The sequence below is a fragment of the Homo sapiens genome, chromosome 3, assembly GCF_000001405.40.
Source record: "Homo sapiens chromosome 3, GRCh38.p14 Primary Assembly".
NCBI classification, from domain to species: domain Eukaryota; kingdom Metazoa; phylum Chordata; class Mammalia; order Primates; family Hominidae; genus Homo; species Homo sapiens.
The window spans coordinates 21,411,417-21,432,146 of record NC_000003.12 but is presented as its reverse complement, the minus strand read 5'-3'; the positions used below and the strand labels follow the sequence as shown (position 1 = coordinate 21,432,146).

The following is a 20,730-nucleotide window of genomic DNA, read 5'->3' as shown; positions in this document are numbered from 1 at the left end:
GCACAAAGAAACCTAAGCTCACACAGCTAATGGAGGCAAAATCTGTCCCGCACAATTCTAGAGCCTGAGCTCATAACTTTCTTTTTACAAATGAAAAAAAAAGTTGTATTTGTTCATCAATCTGTATTGATATCTAATACCCCAGTTAATTTTCCTTGATTATCTACTATGTGTTAGACACAGAGAATACAACTATGAGCAAGACCTAGTCATTGTCTTCAAGAAGTCCATGTCTAATTGTGACTCTGTGTTCAGAAGTGAAATACATACTTGCTTCATGTGAAAAGCTCATTTAAGCCATTCAGCTGTGGTTAGTGTTCATGACCTTATTGCTATTAAGGCCCAAAGATTGTTTGCCACTTCCATTCAACATCTTCTAGGGTAATGATAAGGCTTCCCTTTAATTGAAAATAAAGATAGAGACTCGTCTATCACAATTCTTCTGTTGTAACTTCTTTAAACTTTCTACAAATGATGATGAAAACAGCCTCATAACTCCCTGTGCTCCACATGGCCATACAGGGCATATTTGAATATTGGAGCTGTACTATCTAAAATGGCAGCCACTAGCCTCAGGTGGCTATTTAAATTGAAATTAATTGCCAGTACCATTTCTCTGTTGCGGTGCCCTCATCTCAAGTGGTTAAGAGCTACACATGGCTAATGGCTACCATATTAACCATACATTTGTATAGATATGGAATATTTTTATCATCACAGAAGTTTCTAGGTACTAGAGCTGTAATTCACAAATAATATGTTTGGGGGATTTTGATAGTAAATGATTTCAGGTATATTACCTAATAATAAGAATTATTACATCACTGTGAGCATTTAGGGTTTACTAATTTCACATTTGGTGACTTCTCACTGATTAACAACCAGAATGAGTGACTTCAGAAATGTGTCAAGACGCATTTTCTAGCTATGTTGTTTTATATGACTATTCTTGTTAAATGAGGTTTCAAGTGCAAAACAGTGGAAAGTTCAACCTGGGTCATTTTTCCTGTCTATGCCTCATATAAAATCACTGATATTTAAAAAATTTCTGAAAGTATACATGTGAAAATGTGTTACTACTGAGGACTTGGAGCTTAAAGTTGATAGGTGGGTAGGCTTTTGCTTTTTACTTTATATTCTTTTGTGCTCTTTGAATTTTCTAGCAAGAACATCTGTTGCTTTCATTAACAAAATAAAAAATAAAACTAGTTTACACAAAATGCAAACAAAAGCACTGTTTTTATAAATAAGACAGCATTATGTTGCAATTATACTATGGAAGTGTGATTAATTTGTCCATTTATTAATTGTTGCATGTTAATAAGTTTAAGACCTTTTCACTAGGCTTTCTTGGGGAATGGATATAAAAGCAATGTGGTATTTTCCATGGCCTTAAGGAAGGGCCTTGTTTTTAAGGAGAAGAAATGGGTGCATATAAAGATTTTTCAGTGTGTGTCTAGAGAAGCGGGGTAGAGCCTTAGTGTTTTCTATAGTCACACTTTCAGGGCATTATGGATAAAAAAAGCTTTCTGGATGTCTGATATTTCTCTTCACAGGCTGGAATTTCAAGGCTTGCTGCTATATTAGTTCTCACATTTGTCTCCACTATCAGATAAGCCATGTGTTCTGCCCATTGGGTCCCTCAGCCTGCAGAGCTCTTCCCTGGGTTTCCTTTGGTCACAGGGTCCATTGTGCAGCTTGTCTCCTACCCCATAATGACTTCAGAGCTTTCCCTCCAGGACCATTTCTGAAAAAAGCATGCTTATTTTTTCCTCTGTTTTAGACTTCTTGTTTTCTTTGTCTCTATTTTCACCTTTCCAAATTGGACTTTGGATATATTACTGGTAAATCAGTGAATTACTTTCAACCAAGGAACTAACAGAAATGATAGAATTTTTTTTTTCTTATTTGGGGCAATATTTGGTCACCTGATACCTAGATGCCATTCCAGGTGCTTAATGTTTGTTGATATTCTGATAATGTAAACCAAAGTTTTCTTCTTTAGGAAAAAATTAACATGGAAAATGCTACTATATAGGAGGTCAACATAATAAAAGGTTAACTTGATATTTAGAGATTTTTAAAAGAACACATGGAAGCGTTTGATGCTAATTACACATTCCAGGTACGTAGATTTGAGAGAGCTTTCCTTCCTTAGTACACACAAGAGTTATAATGCTATTATACCAAATATCATAAATAAACACCTTAGCAAAAAAAAACAGCTTTGCATTTTGCTGTTTGTATGGAGACTGACCACTTTACTGCCCATTTATAAGCTGAATCATTGAACTTGTCAATATGATGGTAACTAAATTATTGCTGGCAATTGTATGAGTTTGTTAAAAATCTAGTCAAATGCTATTAAATAGTATTTAATGGGCCTTCTGAAAAACTAAACTTAAAGGTATTCAAATTTATTTTAGAGAGGGGCAACTTTTTCAGACTATACCAACTAGATTTCCCTATAAAGTAAACCCCTCTGAAACTTTCTTTGTAATTTTTAGAAAATAATTTGGCACTGTGAATCGAGAGACTTAAAAATAGTTATATTCTTTGTCCCTATAATACCACTTATGAAAAGCTATCCCAAGGAAACAATCAAAAATGTGATGAAAGATTTAATGAGTAGGATGCTCATTACAACATAATTATATAGGGAAATAAAGGGAAATAATACAAATGTCTAATATTAGATAATGGTTAAATATATCATCTCGATGTATTACAAGTCTATGCTGTCATTAAAAATCATGTGCATTTCTAAAAGCATATATATAATTTCACAGGAATTTTATGCAAAGCCACTTTAGCTAACTTATTCCAACTTTTTAAAATGCACATGTACAAATAGAATATAAAAGACTGGTACATGATAACTATTATTAATATTTTTATATACCTCTAGTTGGTGAAATTAGGGGGTTTTTTCCTTAAAATTTTTTTTAAATTTATCTTGTGACCTAATAAATTATTTCTAATGTATGATTTATTTAACTTTTTAGTCATTTGCCAGTTTTCTTGTTTACCTATCTTTCCTTTATGCCAGTACCAAACTTGAAAGCCAGCTAAAAAGAGGAATTGTAAGAATGATGGGAAACGAAAGGGAAGTCTAGCCCCTTGCCCCCATATTAACTTGATTTTAAGCGTAATATGTATCTTTCCCCCAAATACTCCAAAACGAACAATTAAGCAGAAAGCAAAAAAAAAAAAGGATTTCTTGGAGCCTTATGCCGTGCTGAATTTAGACTGTGGTTGGAGTATGATTTCACCTTTCAGAAATCATGAAGCTTCAGGTGAAGGTATTTGTCAGTACCAGCCTTTTAAAGGTGATAAAAGAAAAATAGTCCACTTAGCTCCTTGCAGAGTCTCTCCTCAGAGGAAGGAATGTAGTGCAGAAGTAGACTTATGAGTGCCTAGCTGAGCCATCACAAAAGAAGGGACAGCCTTGCAAGATGTTTACATGATGTTGAAACCAGAGGAGACCACCGGCCACACAGAGCCATATCTTCGCAAAGTGTCACCATTCGTGGCACTCTGCTCAGCAAAAAAAGCTTTATGAGAAAAAGCAGGGGGTGGGGGTGCGGGGATGGAAGGAGAATTGTAGACTCAAATTCCAAGTTTAGAAAAGACAGTATTAACAAAATAGAAAATTAAAGATTTGTGTGTAACTGAATTCAGGTGGCTTAGAAATTCTTAGTGAATTTCTAAGGAACTTAGCTAGAAATCTCCTTTCTTTCTGCCAGGGACTTCAAGTAATGCTTGCTTTGTGACCACGAGCTAGTAACTTAGTCTTTCTGAGTCTCAGTTTATTATCTCCTAAATGGGGATAATAATAGCACCCAGCTCATAGGGTAGCTGTGAGCAGGTAAAAAATTTAGCACAGTATCTGAAACATATTACAGATTTAATACAAAGGGGTTCTTCTAATACTAATTATGTTTATATTATTAATGCACATTTTATCTCATACATTTAAATGCTTTATAATTAAGAATACATTTTCCTAAATTTTAGCTGTATTTGGAGGAAATACAGCTACACTTACTGCCTACTCAAGCTTTAAGATCTTATAAAACTATCTAATAGTTATTGAATTATGATTGACAATATCTTACTAAATGTATGAGGTTACACTGTTTAAAAGTTCTACTCCATTTAATGGTGAATAGTAACCCTAGACTCAATAGTTATTAATTGAAGTTCCCTTCCCCAATGTTGCCACATTTTTAATCATATGTATACCTGTGTGTGTGTGCATGTGCATGTGTGTGTAAGTGTATGTTTATAAGGTATGGGTATATTTAATTGTCCTATCTTTTCTAGCTTCTATGGAGAGACTATACTTAAATAATAATTCGAACAACCCAATGACTTTCTGAAAAGATGGGTATTTCTAAAATGTTCACATATGTCCCATTTCTATTCTTCCTCTAAAAAACATGACATAGATGGGTCTTAGCTTGCCAAAGATATTCTGAGAAGCACCATATTTTCTGAATCTTTGCCTGCTATTGCTAAGCCCTACTACTGGGGCCAAATCTCTTAAATTTTCCATTATCTCCTGAATACTTAATACTCAATGCTGAGACAAGCCACCTATGTCTGGCTTTTTTCTCTTCCCAATCAACATAAACTACTTAAGTATTATTGAATAGGTTAAAATAGTATTTGGACCCATTCAGCTTCCACCTATGAAACACCAGCTACCAATCACAGATGATATTAACCAAAAGTGAATTTGGAATGCCTCAAGAAAATCAGGATGAGAGTCAATCTCCAACTAACTTCTTAGGCATTCATAAACTAAACTAGCCCTACTAATAATGCTTCTCAGTGTCACTGAAGGAGCTGCATAGAAACATTTTGTATAAAATCATCTGTTAGGATAAAGAAGTTTTCATAATCATTTACATATTTTGTTTCTTGCTCCCTAGGACTATTTTTTCTTTGCCCTCCTCCCACTTATGTCATCTTCAGCTCCCACTTATGTCATTTGCAGCTGCAGTGGAAAGCATTTGTGCTCACTATATTGCAAAGGAGGTGACTGAAATAAGCTCCCGTGAAGCATCACAGTCATTACACTGGAGCAGTTCTCTGGTTCCACGTTTCAATTCGTCCTATCTTCCTGCGAGATATTGACTTTTTCCTTTCTCTAATGTGTTGAAATATGAACATTTTAATAAGAATGGAAAAGAATATGGATATTTAAAATAGGCCATCTAGGTTGTAAGAATGAATACTTTTTACATTGGACTCAGTAAAATGTAATCATTTTGAAGAAGGGAAACATGTGGCTAGAAACCTGTTTAATTTATTTATTGTCCCTTACTTAATATAATGTGATCTGCAGTGACCTCGAGTGCCCTTCACAATATATTTTCCTCATTAACATTTAGTGGTTCTGGGAAGCTGGCCTGTAACTCAGAAGTTAGGAATCATTTCTTTAATGGTTGCCGAACGTACAATCTAATCCATTCAAATAGGCAGGGGAAACTACTACCAAATATTTCTAAAATCAGAATGGCAGAAAGAACACAAATGATTATAAAAGAAAATGTCACAGAAAAAACACATGACCAAGTGAAAAAAATGAAGAATACTTATCAACTCTAAAAAAAAAGAAATTTTGTGCAAAATTTTCAGAGAAAACTGCCATTATGAACAGTATGTAACTACAGTGATCTCAAGAAAACAAAACACAAATGGGTTGTTAACGGTTGACAATCAGAGTTGCATGAATGATGTGTGAAGGCCTGAAGATGTTATTTGTTTATTAAAAGGAAGCAGTTATCCATCGTGTATATGCTTGGGTTACGAGTCCACCCCTCATCTTCTTGGTCATTTGTTTACATAGCCCACCTGTGTGGGCTTCACTATTCTAATATGGATTTGTTTTTCAGAGTCATTAAGCTGTTTATACTATTACTCTCACTTGGAACCTAAAATACATAGCCACGAAAGCTTGTTTGTATTCTGTTTAGAAAGTGGGTATTTAATTAGTGCCACTTCTATAAACACACCATGTTTAAACTGATTACACTTGTTACACATCACCTCCAGCTATATCTTTAGCAAATAAATGACTCTTCCTCATCAGGTATCATTTATGTCTTGTTAGTATCAAGAGGAAATGAAATGAAGTCACACCCATTTCATTTCCCCTCAGGACTCTAAAGTTTAGTTACTATACTAACGGTGCTTGTTTGTAATGCGGAGCATTAGAAAAAAAATGAATAATTTAATAACATCATATAAAGTGATGAAAGCACATTGTTACAGTCTGCTGTATCATGTATATACTTCTGCCCATAATGCCAGGAAAAACTGCACTAAAATGAGGCATCAGATTTTGTTATTGTACTGTTTCTTAAAGGTATATACTAGCTAAGATTTTTTTCCTCCCATCCCACCTCCTTCTCTCCCTCCCTTCTTTCCTCCCTCCTTTCCTTCCTTCATTTCAATATTCCTGACAGGTACTAAGCACAAAACCATGTTAGAAGCCCGGAATGGAAGTGGCACTATCAAAGCCTTTCCTAGGGCAGGAGTGAAAGGCAAAGGACCTGTTAATAAAGGAAACACAGGCCTCCAAAATAAAACATTTCACTGTGAAATCTGTGATGTGCACGTCAACTCGGAAACGCAACTTAAACAGGTAAACAGCACGTATTCTAGGAATGAAAACCAACAAGGGACAGCCTTATAAGCAGGATGTGTGTGCTTCCTTCCTTTTTATTTCTGTCTTTCTGTCCCATTCACCCATCTATTCATCCATCCCTCCATCTGCCCATCTGTTAACCCACTTATCTTCCTTTCACTGTTCTGATTTATTTATACTTATTTTAGTTACTTGAGGAAATACTAAAATGTAATAGATTCTAGAATCTTTCAGAAATTGTTGGCTGTGAGTTTTTACTATTCTTGTATACGAAGAGTGGGTGGAGAAGGGATATCAGGTCTTTTCTCTACCGGATTTTCCACTCAAAAGTGTTGATTTTCTTTAAAGATCAACTTGCAGTATTCCGTTTTAATTTGTTTAGATATTTACGTGCTACAAGTAATTTTACACTGAGCTATTCTTTCATTTTATGTGTTTTATTATATGGTGTTGTTCTGTATGTTTAGATCTTGCAGCCACCTGCAATAGGAATGACTAATCAAGTTGTGTTCATTTTTACTATGAATAGTCTTCCAAAGAGATCATTTATACATTGCCAGCTAAACGTTCAGCCCTCATGTTGTATTTTGTTTTGTATATATGTACAATATTTTGCTGATTTTATGCACCTTATTTATCTTTAGAATTTAAGGGTTTGACATTTGACTGTACAAATGTGAGGATAAACATTAGTATGGAAATAAATTCATTCGTCCCTGGGCATCTTTGTTTATTTGCATGTAAAATTCCTTTAGACATTCCTTCCCTTTGTAAATGTTTTTCAAAAAAAAAAAAAAAAGAGATGTGTGTAGTGATAAGAAGAAAAGCTCGGAAAAAAAAAAGACGCTACTATTTGTTTAAAAATACACTAAAATAGGCTGGGCGCAGTGGCTCACGCCTGTAATCTCAGCACTTTGGGAGGCTGAGGCAGGTGTATCAAGAGGTCAAGAGTTCAAGACCAGCCTGGCCAAGATGGTGAAACCCCATCTCTACTAAAAATACAAAGAATTAGCTGGGCATGGTGGTGGGCACCTGTAGTCTCAGCTACTTGGGAGGCTGAGGCAGATAATTGCTTGAACCCGGGAGGCAGAGGTTGCACTTAGCTGAGATGGCGCCACTGCACTTCAACCTGGGTAGCAGAGTGAGACTCCATCTCAAAAAAAAAAAAAAATATATATATATATATAAATATATATATATAAGTATATATATAATAGTATATATATGAATATATATATGGATAGCATAAAAATATATATCCTCAAGGCATCAGAATCTCAGGACAAAAGTGCATGATCTTTTATTTTTGTCTTTCTGAAACTTGCATGAAATAATGAATATCTTTCTCCAGGTTAAAGCAATATTTGTGAGAGGTTTTTGCAGATGATTTTTTTAAAGCTGTCATTTTAAATTACTTTTAATAGCACATTAGCAGTAGAAGGCACAAAGACAGAGCTGCTGGGAAGCCCCCGAAACCTAAATACAGTCCTTACAACAAACTACAGAAGACAGCACATCCACTGGGGGTGAGTGTCATTTTGCAAGAGTCCAGCCTCTATTCCCAAATGGAATTATTGGTTTCTTGATTTGTTCTGGCATTTTGCCACCTTTAACCACAGCCCAGTACCTTTTACCTTTTTGAGTTGAGTTCAGATTTATCATAGATCATAGGGAAAAGAGAAAAACCAAACTCTTTTGAGTCAAGTAAGTAATCCCATGAAATCTGGTCTTGATGTAAGTTAGTACTTTTGGAAGGAAGGTCAGGAAAAAACAAATTCATGTATATCTTTTTTAATGTGTTTAAGAGACAAAGTATTTGTATTGTTGGTATTCTCAACAATTTTGGATTTTGAATAACAGTCAAGGACATTCCATAAAACCCAGGAAATATTTTGTAGGAATTTCCTCTCCCCATGACTGCAAATAAGCTTTTTATATTGCTAAGTATACTATTATAATGTCCTGACCTGGATATTTTGGTAGGACTTTAGAGGAATCCTGTGAAACCTCCTGACATTGTAGATGAATATTGATGAACAGGTATATTATTTTGTTTTGTTAGTTTGTTTCTGGTTGAAGTGACCATAGCTTTCATCAGAGAGACTCAGAGCTCAATGAAAAGTTAAGAACAACTGTTCTATAACATAAGCTAAATTGTGCATTTTGAAACATTTATACAAAATAGATCTTATTACTATTGGATGCTGTTATGTGCTGCTGACACATGAAAACATAAATAAAGGAAAACTGCAATTATCTATTATGAGACCCCAGTACAAGCTGTCCTGTTAGTTTAGTAGCATTGCCCATTTTTGTTCAAATGAAGTTATTTTAATTTTGTATCCTGAAACTTTGCTGAAGTTGTTTATGAGCTTAAGGATCTTTTGGGCCAAGACTATAGATTTTTCTAGATATAGGATCATTTTGTCTGCAAACAAGGATAGTTTGACTTCTTCTCTTCTTATGTGGATTCCCTTTATGTTTTTCTCTTGCCCAATTGCCCTGGCCAGGACTTCCAATACTATGTTGAATAGGAGTGGTGAGAGAGGACACCTTGTGTTGTGCTGATTTTTAAGGGTAATGCTTCCAGCTTTTGCCCATACAGTATGATGTTGGTTGTGGGTTTGTCATACACGGCTCTTATTATTTTGAGATGTGTTCCCTCATTACATGGTTTATTGAGAGTTTTATCATGAAGGGGTGTTGAATTTTATTGAAAGCCTTTTCTGCATCCATTGAGATAATCATGTGTTTTTGTCTTTAGTTCTGTTTACGTGATGAATCACAATTATTGATTTGCATATGTTGAACCAACCTCTCATCCCAGAGATAAAGCCAAAATGATTGTGGTGGATAAGCTTTTTGATGTGCTGCTGGATTTGGTTTACCAGTATTTTGTTGAGTTTTGCATCGATGTTCATCAAGGATATTGGCCTGAAGTTTTGTTTTTTTGTTTTGTCTCTGCCAGGTTTTGGTATCAGGATGATGCTGGCCTCATAGAATGAGTTAGGGAGAAGTTCCTCCTCAATTTTGGGAGATGAAATAATCTGTACAGCAAGGCATGACACAAATTTACCTACATAACAAACCTGTATATGTACCCTTGAACTTAAAATAAAAGTTTAAAAAAGTAAAGTTACTTTACTTTTCTGTAAAGACACAATTTTAGCTGCATTGGGAGGTGAAGAATTCTGCACAGTGCTTCAGCACCACTAGTCATAACCCTGAATGCTATCTCTGTCCAGCACAGATGCAGCTTTTGACAATCAAGTGAATGGTTCTTAAATAAACAGAGTAGTCAAAATTGTGTTGCTATTAGTATACAAACCCTCCTTCTTCACCATCACTATGTTACTGACTCCACAAATGGGAACATTCTCTCAGTGAGAACAGGTATTTTATTGATGTTACTAGCCAGAGAATGAACTGGCTTTGTAGAGAAGGACTGAGAAAATGTGGTTACCATTTGCATAAAGAAAAAGTGGAACGTGTCAAAATTTAGGGGAGAAAAGGTATTTTTGGTTGTTTTTTAAATTTCTCAGTTGAAAGTGGAATTTTATTGTTTTTATTTATTTTGAATAGTACCTCATACAATTGGAAACAACATTCTCTATGTAACCCAGGTTACACCCTTGGCTAGTCGAATGGCATTTGACAGCATTAAAAATCCCTTTAGAAATATATGCTCTTTAGTAGTTAATGTATGTGTAAAGGGTGATAAAAATATTCTATATTTTCTCATGATGAATACTTTCCTCTGGAAATATAATTTTCAACAAACATATAATAAAATAAGGTTGCTGAGTACTTTTCTAGAGAACTTTTCAAGCATTCCCGGTTGGCCATTTTCAGGTATCTTCCAACTCTTCCAAAGGGAAAATGTTCTATACTTCCCATTTTCTTTGTTGTCAGTTCACAAGTGTGAAGCTTTTTTCTTTATAGTTGTTTACTGCTATATTTTAAAAGCTCCCTGCCATTTTGGGTTTTAAGTACAAATTCCAAAACTGTTGTTTTTTTTACAATATTTTTTCTCCCTTGCAGGTAAAATTAGTATTTTCAAAAGAACCTTCAAAGCCATTGGCTCCACGAATTCTACCAAATCCTCTAGCAGCTGCAGCAGCCGCAGCAGCAGTGGCAGTGAGTTCCCCCTTCAGTCTTCGAACTGCTCCAGCAGCAACACTGTTCCAGACTTCCGCGCTTCCTCCGGCACTCCTGCGGCCAGCTCCTGGACCCATTCGGACCGCCCACACTCCTGTGCTGTTTGCTCCTTACTAAATTCCAAATAGGAGTAATTGTACTGCAATAATTTTTCAAAAAACAAAAAACAAAACAAACAAAAGAGAACTATGCAGTGTTTATTTATAGTTTAAAGTATATCTGAAGAGCCAGGACTTTTGATAGTGAATTGAAAAGGTTATAAAAAAGTGGGGGAGGTTTGGGGGTGGGAGGGAGGGAGTGGTATTTTCTCCAAATTAAAGCATTCCTCTTGAACGCTGATTGTTTTAGAAGTGATCTCCAGCATTGATTTGTAGTGGTATCTAGACCTTCTGAAGCCTCTGTGACTGTGCTTTTGGGCACCTATTTCCCTCTGCATTGTCTGTCCTGCTTTATGAAACAACTATACATTGTCTAAGGGCATTAACTGGTTCCAATGTATATAAAATAATTTACTCTGTAGATTAAAATCGTACAAAAAAAAAGGAAAAAAACAAAAACAAAAGCAACACTGTGAATAGTACTACCCGTGCTGGTCCTCTTGCTATGACGGCAATTACTGGGTATTTATCCCAACAAAAGTAGATACAGTAGATGTCTTGTAAAACAATAGTGCTGTGTCTCAATCTATGCCACTAGGTTTTAAAGAATTGCAAAGGTAGAATGAACAACTATTTCATACCAATAAGCAGTCAAAAAATAAACATACACCGGATGGTGTCATGGAGGTCTCCCTGGTCAGCATTCTCCCCTCCTGTCTAGCTTGAAGATATAACAGGGCTAAGCTTAGAGATGGGGGAGGCATTAATAAAGGTGATTTCTTATAAAGTAGTAACTTCCCACCCTGAAGATATATTGCTGGAAACAGGGAAGTGTTTATAATGAACCTATATCTGAAAGCAGAGAAACCCATGCATCATGAGTGTTAAGAAAGAAATCAATACAACTCTTCTATTTCAAGGATGAAGAATCATAACCTAGAATGATAATGCAAAGTAAAGATCTTTCATTTAGTACATATCCAGTAAAAACGGAGAATGTTGCATCTCTGCAGTATCCCCTTTATATCATACCAGTAGGGTTGTTTCTTAGGCAAAGGTTTCTGCTTTAAGTATGATGGTAGAATTAAGCATTAGCTATTTTTATGGGTTTTTCTTGTTTTTTAGATTACCTGCTGACATGATATAAACAATTAATATATATTTAAATGTTAATAACAACAGGAAATATGAATCTGAGTTAATTGCACACCAATGACATAGTGTTAAAAAATACTGGTAAGTTCCACTCGACAATTATTTCTCCAGTGGAGTTGTGAAATACTGAGAGCCTTTGATATTCACCATCAGGCTGAAAGAAGTTGATGTTTTACCTTTAAAACAAGATTTATCAGGGGTATATATAAATATATGTATATTGTATATATGTTAGAAAGATTAAGAGAATAAGTTATAAAAAGAAAAAATCTATATAAAATAATTATATAACCATCCAGTGTTACATGTTATCATTAAATTGGTAACAAATGGCATAAAAATAGCTGTGCCTTTAATTTGTGATAAAGGCTATTTGCTTTTTCCCATAGAAAGCTGACATATACCTATCAAAATGGTGGGGTTTGATGCAGCCAGTCTGTTGCATTAATAAGAGCAATGACACTGAAACTTAGAATAATGACAAAACATACATGATTTAGGTTTAGAGAAAAAACTATTTTTGAAAAGGTTTTCTAAAGACTATTTAAAAATATAGGGAAGGATTGGGTGTGGCCTTCCTGAAACTGCTCTCAAAGTGTTGTAACCCTTGGAGAGGTATAAAGAATCAAGAGGAAACCATTTGAGACATAGGTATTTAGCATTTATCATTTTATATTTAAGAAACACCATAGCGTGCTTGGTGCTCAACATTAAACATGGTTTTTTGGAGTTCTTCTCCACCATCTAGCTATAGAAATTTGTCATATAAATGAATCTTTAAAGCAGTTGGCTTTATATATCCTTTGTTAACCAACCAAAACAAAAACAAAAAAAAAGAAGGAAAGAAGGAAGGAAGGAAGGAAGAATGGAAGGAAGGAAGGAAGAAAGGAGGGAAGGAAGGAAGGAAAGGAGATGGGGAAGGGAAGAAAAGGAAGGAAGGAAGAAAGGAAGATAATGTGTTCCATCAGTATTCTGGTAGAAAGAATTTCAAACCATGCTTCTCTGGTTAAATATATTGATTAGCATTAAAATTTGTTTTGAAAGTATCTGGTGATTTTGCATTTACCAGCATCTCTATTCTCTAGTTTTAGCAAGTGTTTCCTTTTTCACCTACAGACCCTGGTAGTTCAGCCAGGTGGATAGTTGCCCATAAGTCTGTTGTTTGGGGCTCTGTCTGTATCCCATGTGACCAGCTTCTAACCATTTTGAACTTTAGTTTCCCTTTTCTGCTATGTCAAATATTTTGATTTTCCATAATCATCCTGAGTCCCTATCCAACAACCTTTACAACTGATACAGCCTCACTTTCTGTTAGATAACTTAGTGTTAATTAAAGCAGTCTCACTAAAACGTGCTTTTGCTGTTCTTTCCCATTTTCACCAAAGTGAATGAGCCAGTCCACTAAAAATCAGGGCCTATGGGATACACAGTGTCCTGGGTCACAAGGCATTACTGTCTTTAATGATTTGCTGGGAACAAACGAATCAGCCATATTTTCTCCATCAGCCATATAAGAAATCTCAGAAATACCTGGATCCCTTCTGCCTCACTTCGCTATGGAACCATTTTTGTTTAAATGGTCTTTTAAATTGGAGTTGTAAGCATCAGTTGTCTTTTATTCACTACCTAATAAAGGATGAAGCCTAACCACAGAACTTACAGTGGATTCTCTGTGAGTTGTTTCCCCCACACTCCATATATTTACCAATACCAGATTAACATCCATTATAGTTCAGGCTGCCATAAAACTGTATCTTTTCCCTTAGGGAACTTTTTTCATGAATAAAGATCCACAATTTAGATTGGTCAGCAGTGTGCTGTGAAAATCCCTGAGGGTGGTCTGACTTTATGGTTTTACATTCCTTCCCATGCATCACACCATGGCAAGGAAAGTGATAGAGAAAGCAGCTCTGATTCATTTGAAACAAATATAAATGCATTGCAGAAGCCAAATGCCTCTGGAAAAAGCATTGTTGCACCTCAATCAGATCGTCCAGACAAATGGGAAACAGTCATTGGGGAGGTACTGTATTTCTCTTATGAGAAAACAGGCAATTACACATGATAAATTGCTCCTCTCACTGGACCTCAACTTTGAAGAGTACTTTTTTTATTCACATAAGCAAACATACTTGGCTTTTGGCAATTTATATCACCCCTGCCTCATTTGAAAGGATTTCTATCTTTAGGTACTATTTGGCTTCTCCTGATCTATCGCAGTAATTCACTGCCATTATCATCAGAGATGAAATTTGGTTTTTCTAAAGGTGCTACATATTTTGTTGCCAAGAAACTAGTTAGCAAAGGAGTATTTATATGTACTTGAAAATTAAAAGAGCAGGAAATCATAAAAGACTAAGAATTAAAAGACAGCAGAAGTTTCAAAATAGAATCAAAGAGGCTGTGCCTATTTGAGTTTCTAAGGCACAAACCAACACATAGTAGACATGAGCAATAAATATCACCAATTACAATTAAATTTTAAATTAATATCTTTGTCTTTGTACCAGTGTAATGTTTCAATTGTTCTGAAGAAATCAGATCAGAAAGCTAAAAGGTAACTGAAGTGGTATATAGGCCTGTTTCTTTAGATCTGAATTGAAGTAGAAAATTACCTTTCTATACATAAGCATGGATGACATTGTATTAATAACTTTGTTCACCCAAAAGCCGCATGAAGTGGTGGGAAAAGCAATGAGGAGCCTTAGAGTAGCCAGAGTCTATTGTAGACTTTGTCCCTGACCAACAGGGTAACTTAAATAGTCAACTAATGCCTTGCCCTTAATTTCTTCATCAGTAAAATGGATGACAGTGATTAATAGCTAAGCTGGTTTAATACATCAGCACTAGAGGGGCATTGCTTTTATCCTCTCAGGAATAAAAATTCTTTATTCGAGTGACCAATGCAGCTACTCACATACTTGCATATGTCCAGAAAAATATTCTGTATTCCTTTCCATCCTGAGTGTAAGCCATATTGTAGGTCATTCATATGCTCAACCAGAATGTACATTTCACCAATATTGGAGTAGTTGCTAATTCACTTAGTACTCACTTATTATGATCGCACTTATGCCAACATCATGTAAGATATGCTACTTCTATTTTCCCAGTCAAGAATGTAATAAATTCTGAACAAAACCAACCCTGAAAAAGGCAATAGACAGCTGGCAGTGGGGGTGTGGAAGGGAACAACAATTTAAATGCATCATCCTTATTTCTTTTGTTGCACTTTCTCTCTTCAATAGGAAGGGGTCCCGACTAAGCCATAACTAATTCTGTCCTGCGTTTGCATGTATTTTAACTAATGGTTGCCTTATTAAGACCATCTCTTCCACAGACAAGTATATCAGTTATGCGCTCTTGTCATTGTTACAGGAATTATTTAAACTGAGTCCTAACAGTGAAAGTTTTACCTGACTTTTGCTGATTTTTTTTTCTTTCTACATGGGGAGATTTATCTCTGGAGCATCTCTTGTGTTTTTGTATGGTTTGCTTCAGTAGCTAGAGAGGCTACTATCAGGAAGTGAAATGGATCATTTCTAATGGTAGGTCTCCATTGCCTACATGGTATTTCTGAGAGTGGTATCAGGGTGTCCAGTGAAAGACGGATAGGTTGACATGTCATGCTCATTTGGCCTAAAGGTTGTTACTGCCAGGAATGGACTTACAACTTACCAGAATGTGAATGGTGACAAAAGGCAGGTTCTACTCTGGAAAAATATGTGTTATTTTATTAGAAGTTCATGGCCGGGCGCGGTGGCTCACGCCTGTAATCCCAGCACTTTGGGAGGCCGAGGCGGGTGGATCATGAGGTCAGGAGATCGAGACCATCCTGGCTAACAAGGTGAAACCCCGTCTCTACTAAAAATACAAAAAATTAGCCGGGCGCGGTGGCGGGCGCCTGTAGTCCCAGCTACTCGGGAGGCTGAGGCAGGAGAATGGCGTGAACCCGGGAAGCGGAGCTTGCAGTGAGCCGAGATTGCGCCACTGCAGTCCGCAGTCCGACCTGGGCGACAGAGCGAGACTCCGTCTCAAAAAAAAAAAAAAAAAAAAAAAAAAGAAGTTCATGCAGGTCATGAAGAGTCACAGAGTTTAAAGAATTCTCTGGTTGGGTCATCAATGTTCAGATGTCAAGGGACTGAACATTACCTTCAATTTGAGGGTCTTCTCTTTCCTCTTCTCAGTGATGGAAACTCATCCTTCCTAGGTGGCTAAGTTGACTGTAGAAACTGCTAAAATGTATTTGTCAAACGAAGTAAAATCTGACTATTAATATATATGATCAGGTAGAGTATCTTAGAGTTTGGTTAACTAAGACAGCCGATAATGGGGTCATGTTATTTTCAGACTGGCAGGTCATCTCTAAAGGCAATTTTTAAAGATTAGGGCTAAAATGATTTGTGAGCAAAGAAGTATAATTAAAAATAAGTAATAGTATAGTGACGAGTTCTAAGGTTAATGCTTATATACGCACACACATACAGAATTGTAAAAATATGAGTCTTAGTACCTGTCATTCTTTTACAAAGCCATGGTAAAATCATTTTATTTTCAATGATTAGGTTGGTTTTACTTTAACAAAAGGAACTCCAATGTCACACTTGGGAGTCTTAATCATTTTGGGGCATTAATCATTTTAGGGCATTGGAGGGGCTGGGAAGTAGATATAATGTTAAGATGTTATGCACTCTAGCAAGACTATTATGCTAACAGTTTGAGTTGGGTCATACAATTGTATCATTTCACATCAGCTACTGACTTTGAGTACTGACTTTGAATGCTTATAAAATCTTCCTCAAATCCAGGTAGTGTGCAGGACATGGTATAACAAGACAACGGAAAATTAGCAGAGAGAGCCTTCATTGGAAACCCAGATTGTATTTTTGCCAGTACAACAAATATTATTTTTAAAGTCTCTCACTAATAGGATTGTTCAACATAAATCTATTGAGAAACAATGATGTCAGAGAGTTTTAAAGCTATAGTGAAGTGTGTTAAATTTTGTTAACCAAAATAATGATATGGGTTTTATTGGACGTTTGTCAACCCAACTTAACACACATTGTTATATAATTTCAGTATAGGACCCTAGGGCTAGGGGCAACTAATATTGGATAAAGACCCTTCGTGAGATGCTTTATGTCTCTTATGATGTTATGCTAACATTAGTAGAGATGAAAAAGGAATTGAGTTCGTGAGATCCTGGAAAGTTTAACTTTTATCAAATAGTCAAGAAAAATTCCATTTTATGGCATCTGGTTTTTAAATGGATTATAGAAAAATGTGTGGAAGTACTGGATATTGGCGAAAAAGCCTTGTGGCCAAGGGATCTGGGCACAAGATCGAGCATCACAGAACAGTGAACACAGTTGTTGGCTTCACTACCAATCATCTACGAGGAAACTGGGCCAATTCACTTGACATTTTGATGATTCTCTCTGATAAAAATAGGGATAATGACTGATTACAGAAATGTGCTTTTAAAAAAGCTGAATTTAGTAAAAGCAAGTCATTTGCTACTCAAAATAGCTCCAAAATCTAAGCCATATTTCTATAAATTTCATAAAGTCGTTTTAAAATGTGACTTATAGTTACAGCGTTTATATTACTACATATTTAAGATGGAACTGACCTGATGCCAAAGCTACATCATTTGTAGCTATATTAGCTTTCTCTTTTGTCCTGAAAAAAGGTTGGAGTGTTTTTAAAAATATAGTTTTTAATCTGCACATGGAGCTATATGCAAAGAACATTGTTTCTTCGGGGAATATTTTTAGTCATAGTTTCTTTCATTTATTTTATCAGCAAAAATCTTATGTCAGTTTCAACTAAGGTCTCCTAACTGAACTTTTTTTTGTTTTGTTTTGTTTTGTTTTGTTTTGTTTTGTAAATCCACAGCAATTTTTATTAAATAAAAGCCTAGGTGAGAAAAATAAGTTATATCCTAGCACATGAAACTTAGTCAATAATTTCTTCTAATAATATTTAATTCACTGAAATTTTACAACAAATTTTAAATCGACTACCAAGAGTGGTCAGTCGGGGAAAATTTAGTGTTATCCAATGTATGATGAAATATTCAGCTCTCACAAAAACTGGATGTTTGGCTATTTTAAAATGGCTGTTCTTCACAATAAAACTACAAACAGACACTGTCGAATAAATTGAGTGATAAGTATGTCTATTTACTAACATGAGCCAATTTGAACTTTAGTTTTGAGATCTAAAAATATTTTAATCCACATGCATTTAGTGACTATAAATTGAAGGCAGTGTTCTTTTGACAACCAAGCTTATTGAAAACTTTGGCATTAATGTTCACAAACATGAGCACTATTTTGAAATTAAAAATAGACTATGGTTTGCTCTACATGCTTGTGACCCTGCAAAAAATAAAGGAAAAATATTCATGCTATTTTTCTCCTCTTATATTCTTATGGCTTAAAAAATATAACCAGGGTTTTATCTAATATCAATCTCTTGGCAAAGGATCATATAAGGTTTTACCTGCTAACAAGAATACCTCATTTGAAAGAGCATTACCACAAGCATTGGAGGGAGGTACAGTTGACATGGTGAATTTGATTTTACAAAAACTAACAAAGCTGGGGGGTGGCAAAGCATTGACTTAACTATAATCACTAGTCACACCAATGTGAGATTCCGAATCATTGGTCAGCCACAGTGATGCCACCTTGGCATCAAACTTGCCTGTTCCATCTTTATCAATGTATCTGGAAGTCTGACTTGAGTACCAGAAGCCAAAACGCTCAGAATGCTAATTTGTGCCACCTTAATGGCCCATGTGTTCGGTAAATAAATTTGCTTTTTACATCTCGTCAAATCTTACTGAATAAACCTTTCATCAGAGTTCTACATATCCCCAGGTGGGCTTGGAAACGTGAGATAGGATTTTATTGTGTTTTATATTATGATAGTTGAATGATGATTCTATATGTTATTGTTATATTTGTTTTCATTAAAAACCCAAAGAACTACCCTTTGTATACCAGTAAAGTACTATTTTTTCTTGAAAAAAAGTAATAATAATAATAATTAAGGCAATTCACATAGTTTGTTTTATGCCAGTCTTCTGTTTTAAGTCATGTGATAACATCTCCCCAAACATCAATTTCTCACCCTACATGATATGTGATAAAATCCCCCATATGCCAATAATTTCCCCCACTATAAAATGAAGCTGCTTCCAATATTATTGACTCAGAAATGTAAAATATAGCACAGTTTATCTTGTCTGTGGTCCTGTACTAAGTTAAACTTGCAGCTGTGAACAAATTAATATTTATTTTTATTAGGAATTCTTTAAGATGAATTTTCAGTTTTAGTAAAAGAAAGACACCAGTGATATTTTTATGGATGAAAGCTCTCTGGTTCCTTCAGCAGCTCTAGGAACATCCTTAGCCATTATATCCTCTCTCTTTGACAATATCAAAATTGTCCAGGTAAATGTAATATTGCCAGTGGTGTCAAGACATTGGTCTGTTCATGTCCTTATTCTTCGCTTGGTTTGTGGAATCAAAATGGTTGCTTATTTTCCTCTCTTCTGTAGATAATCCATAGGCAATGTTTTCAATTTGGGAAACTTTTTTTTTCAACTTGGTTTAAGTTTGAAGGCTCTAAGGAAGAGGAATATTAGAACAAATTATGTATTCTCTATGTTCTATTCCACTTGTTTGTAATATACTCCTGTTCTGAGAGTTATGGTAAACCTATATAACACGACTGTTCCAAGTGCCAAGTGAGAATTGTAGTGACTCACAGAACACGTCTCATGACTATTTATCAAAAGAAATGTGCTGATTAAAGAAAAAAAGTAAAATATCTTATTTTCATTCAGTTCTGGATGATGCTTGTTCCATTACCCCTTCTCTCTCCCTTGTTAAACAAGGTAAATGTTTTCACACTTAAACTGACCACTTAGAGCATTTCAGTTTAATGTAAGGCAGAAAAATAATGTTACCCATAACTTTGAATGCTTATAGTTGGCCTTTGCTAAAATAAAATTTTAGTGACGACAAGAGGTTGCAAGATGGTAATCCATGTTTCCATAGGGCTGAAATTTTTTTTTATTTTAGTTCCCAAACAGCTTTGAAAAAAGTGTTTTTAAAATGAGAATTTCTATAATTTATTTTCTATCTGCTACTAAAGACACTGCTAGACTGATTAAGCCTGGTGGATAGAGAAAATCCAAACTTGAACCTTTGGAAACATCGTTTATCAACATTTAAAATTCTATAAGCCCATAAAAACATGTTAACGCCAACACATGGAAAAGAAAATGTGTTGCAATAAGTTCTCATTCATGTTCGAGAACAACAGGAGATGAAAAGTATGCGCACCAACTAAGGTTTTCTTTCACACTCTCTGAATATACAATGAATAATATACCAAAAATGGTATACAATTTTATGATACAAATGGTATCGTATTGAAATTCAAAGACATGAATATTCAGAGAAAACTATTGTAAAAAAATTATTATGCATACGGTATATATTTGCTGCCAAATTGAAAATTATCATTGCTAAATTTTTTTAGTCTATTCTGACAGGTCAAAATAATTTATCAGGCCCATTAAGTAACAGGTTTAAATATATTTCAACTCAGAGGAGATGAACATGAAAGATGTCAGTAGCA

The 20,730-nt window shown here is 35.2% G+C and overlaps 1 protein-coding gene across 16 annotated transcripts in view; it reads left to right on the top strand.

Moving 5' to 3' along the window:
- ZNF385D (zinc finger protein 385D) overlaps window positions 1-19,929 on the top strand; it is a 960,546-nt gene extending 940,617 nt beyond the window's left edge. For 15 of the 16 annotated variants that reach the window (XM_017007192.2, XM_017007191.2, XM_017007199.2 and 12 more), the window contains 3 exons: window positions 6,477-6,655; window positions 8,083-8,184; window positions 10,700-15,812. In XM_017007192.2, the coding sequence (XP_016862681.1) occupies window positions 6,477-6,655; window positions 8,083-8,184; window positions 10,700-10,933 (515 nt within the window). In that variant the 3' untranslated portion in view covers window positions 10,934-15,812. Of the gene's footprint in view, window positions 1-6,476; window positions 6,656-8,082; window positions 8,185-10,699 lie in introns of all 16 variants that reach the window. The other variant, NM_024697.3, reaches the window with a different exon arrangement.
- The last annotated feature ends 801 nt before the right edge of the window (window positions 19,930-20,730 follow it).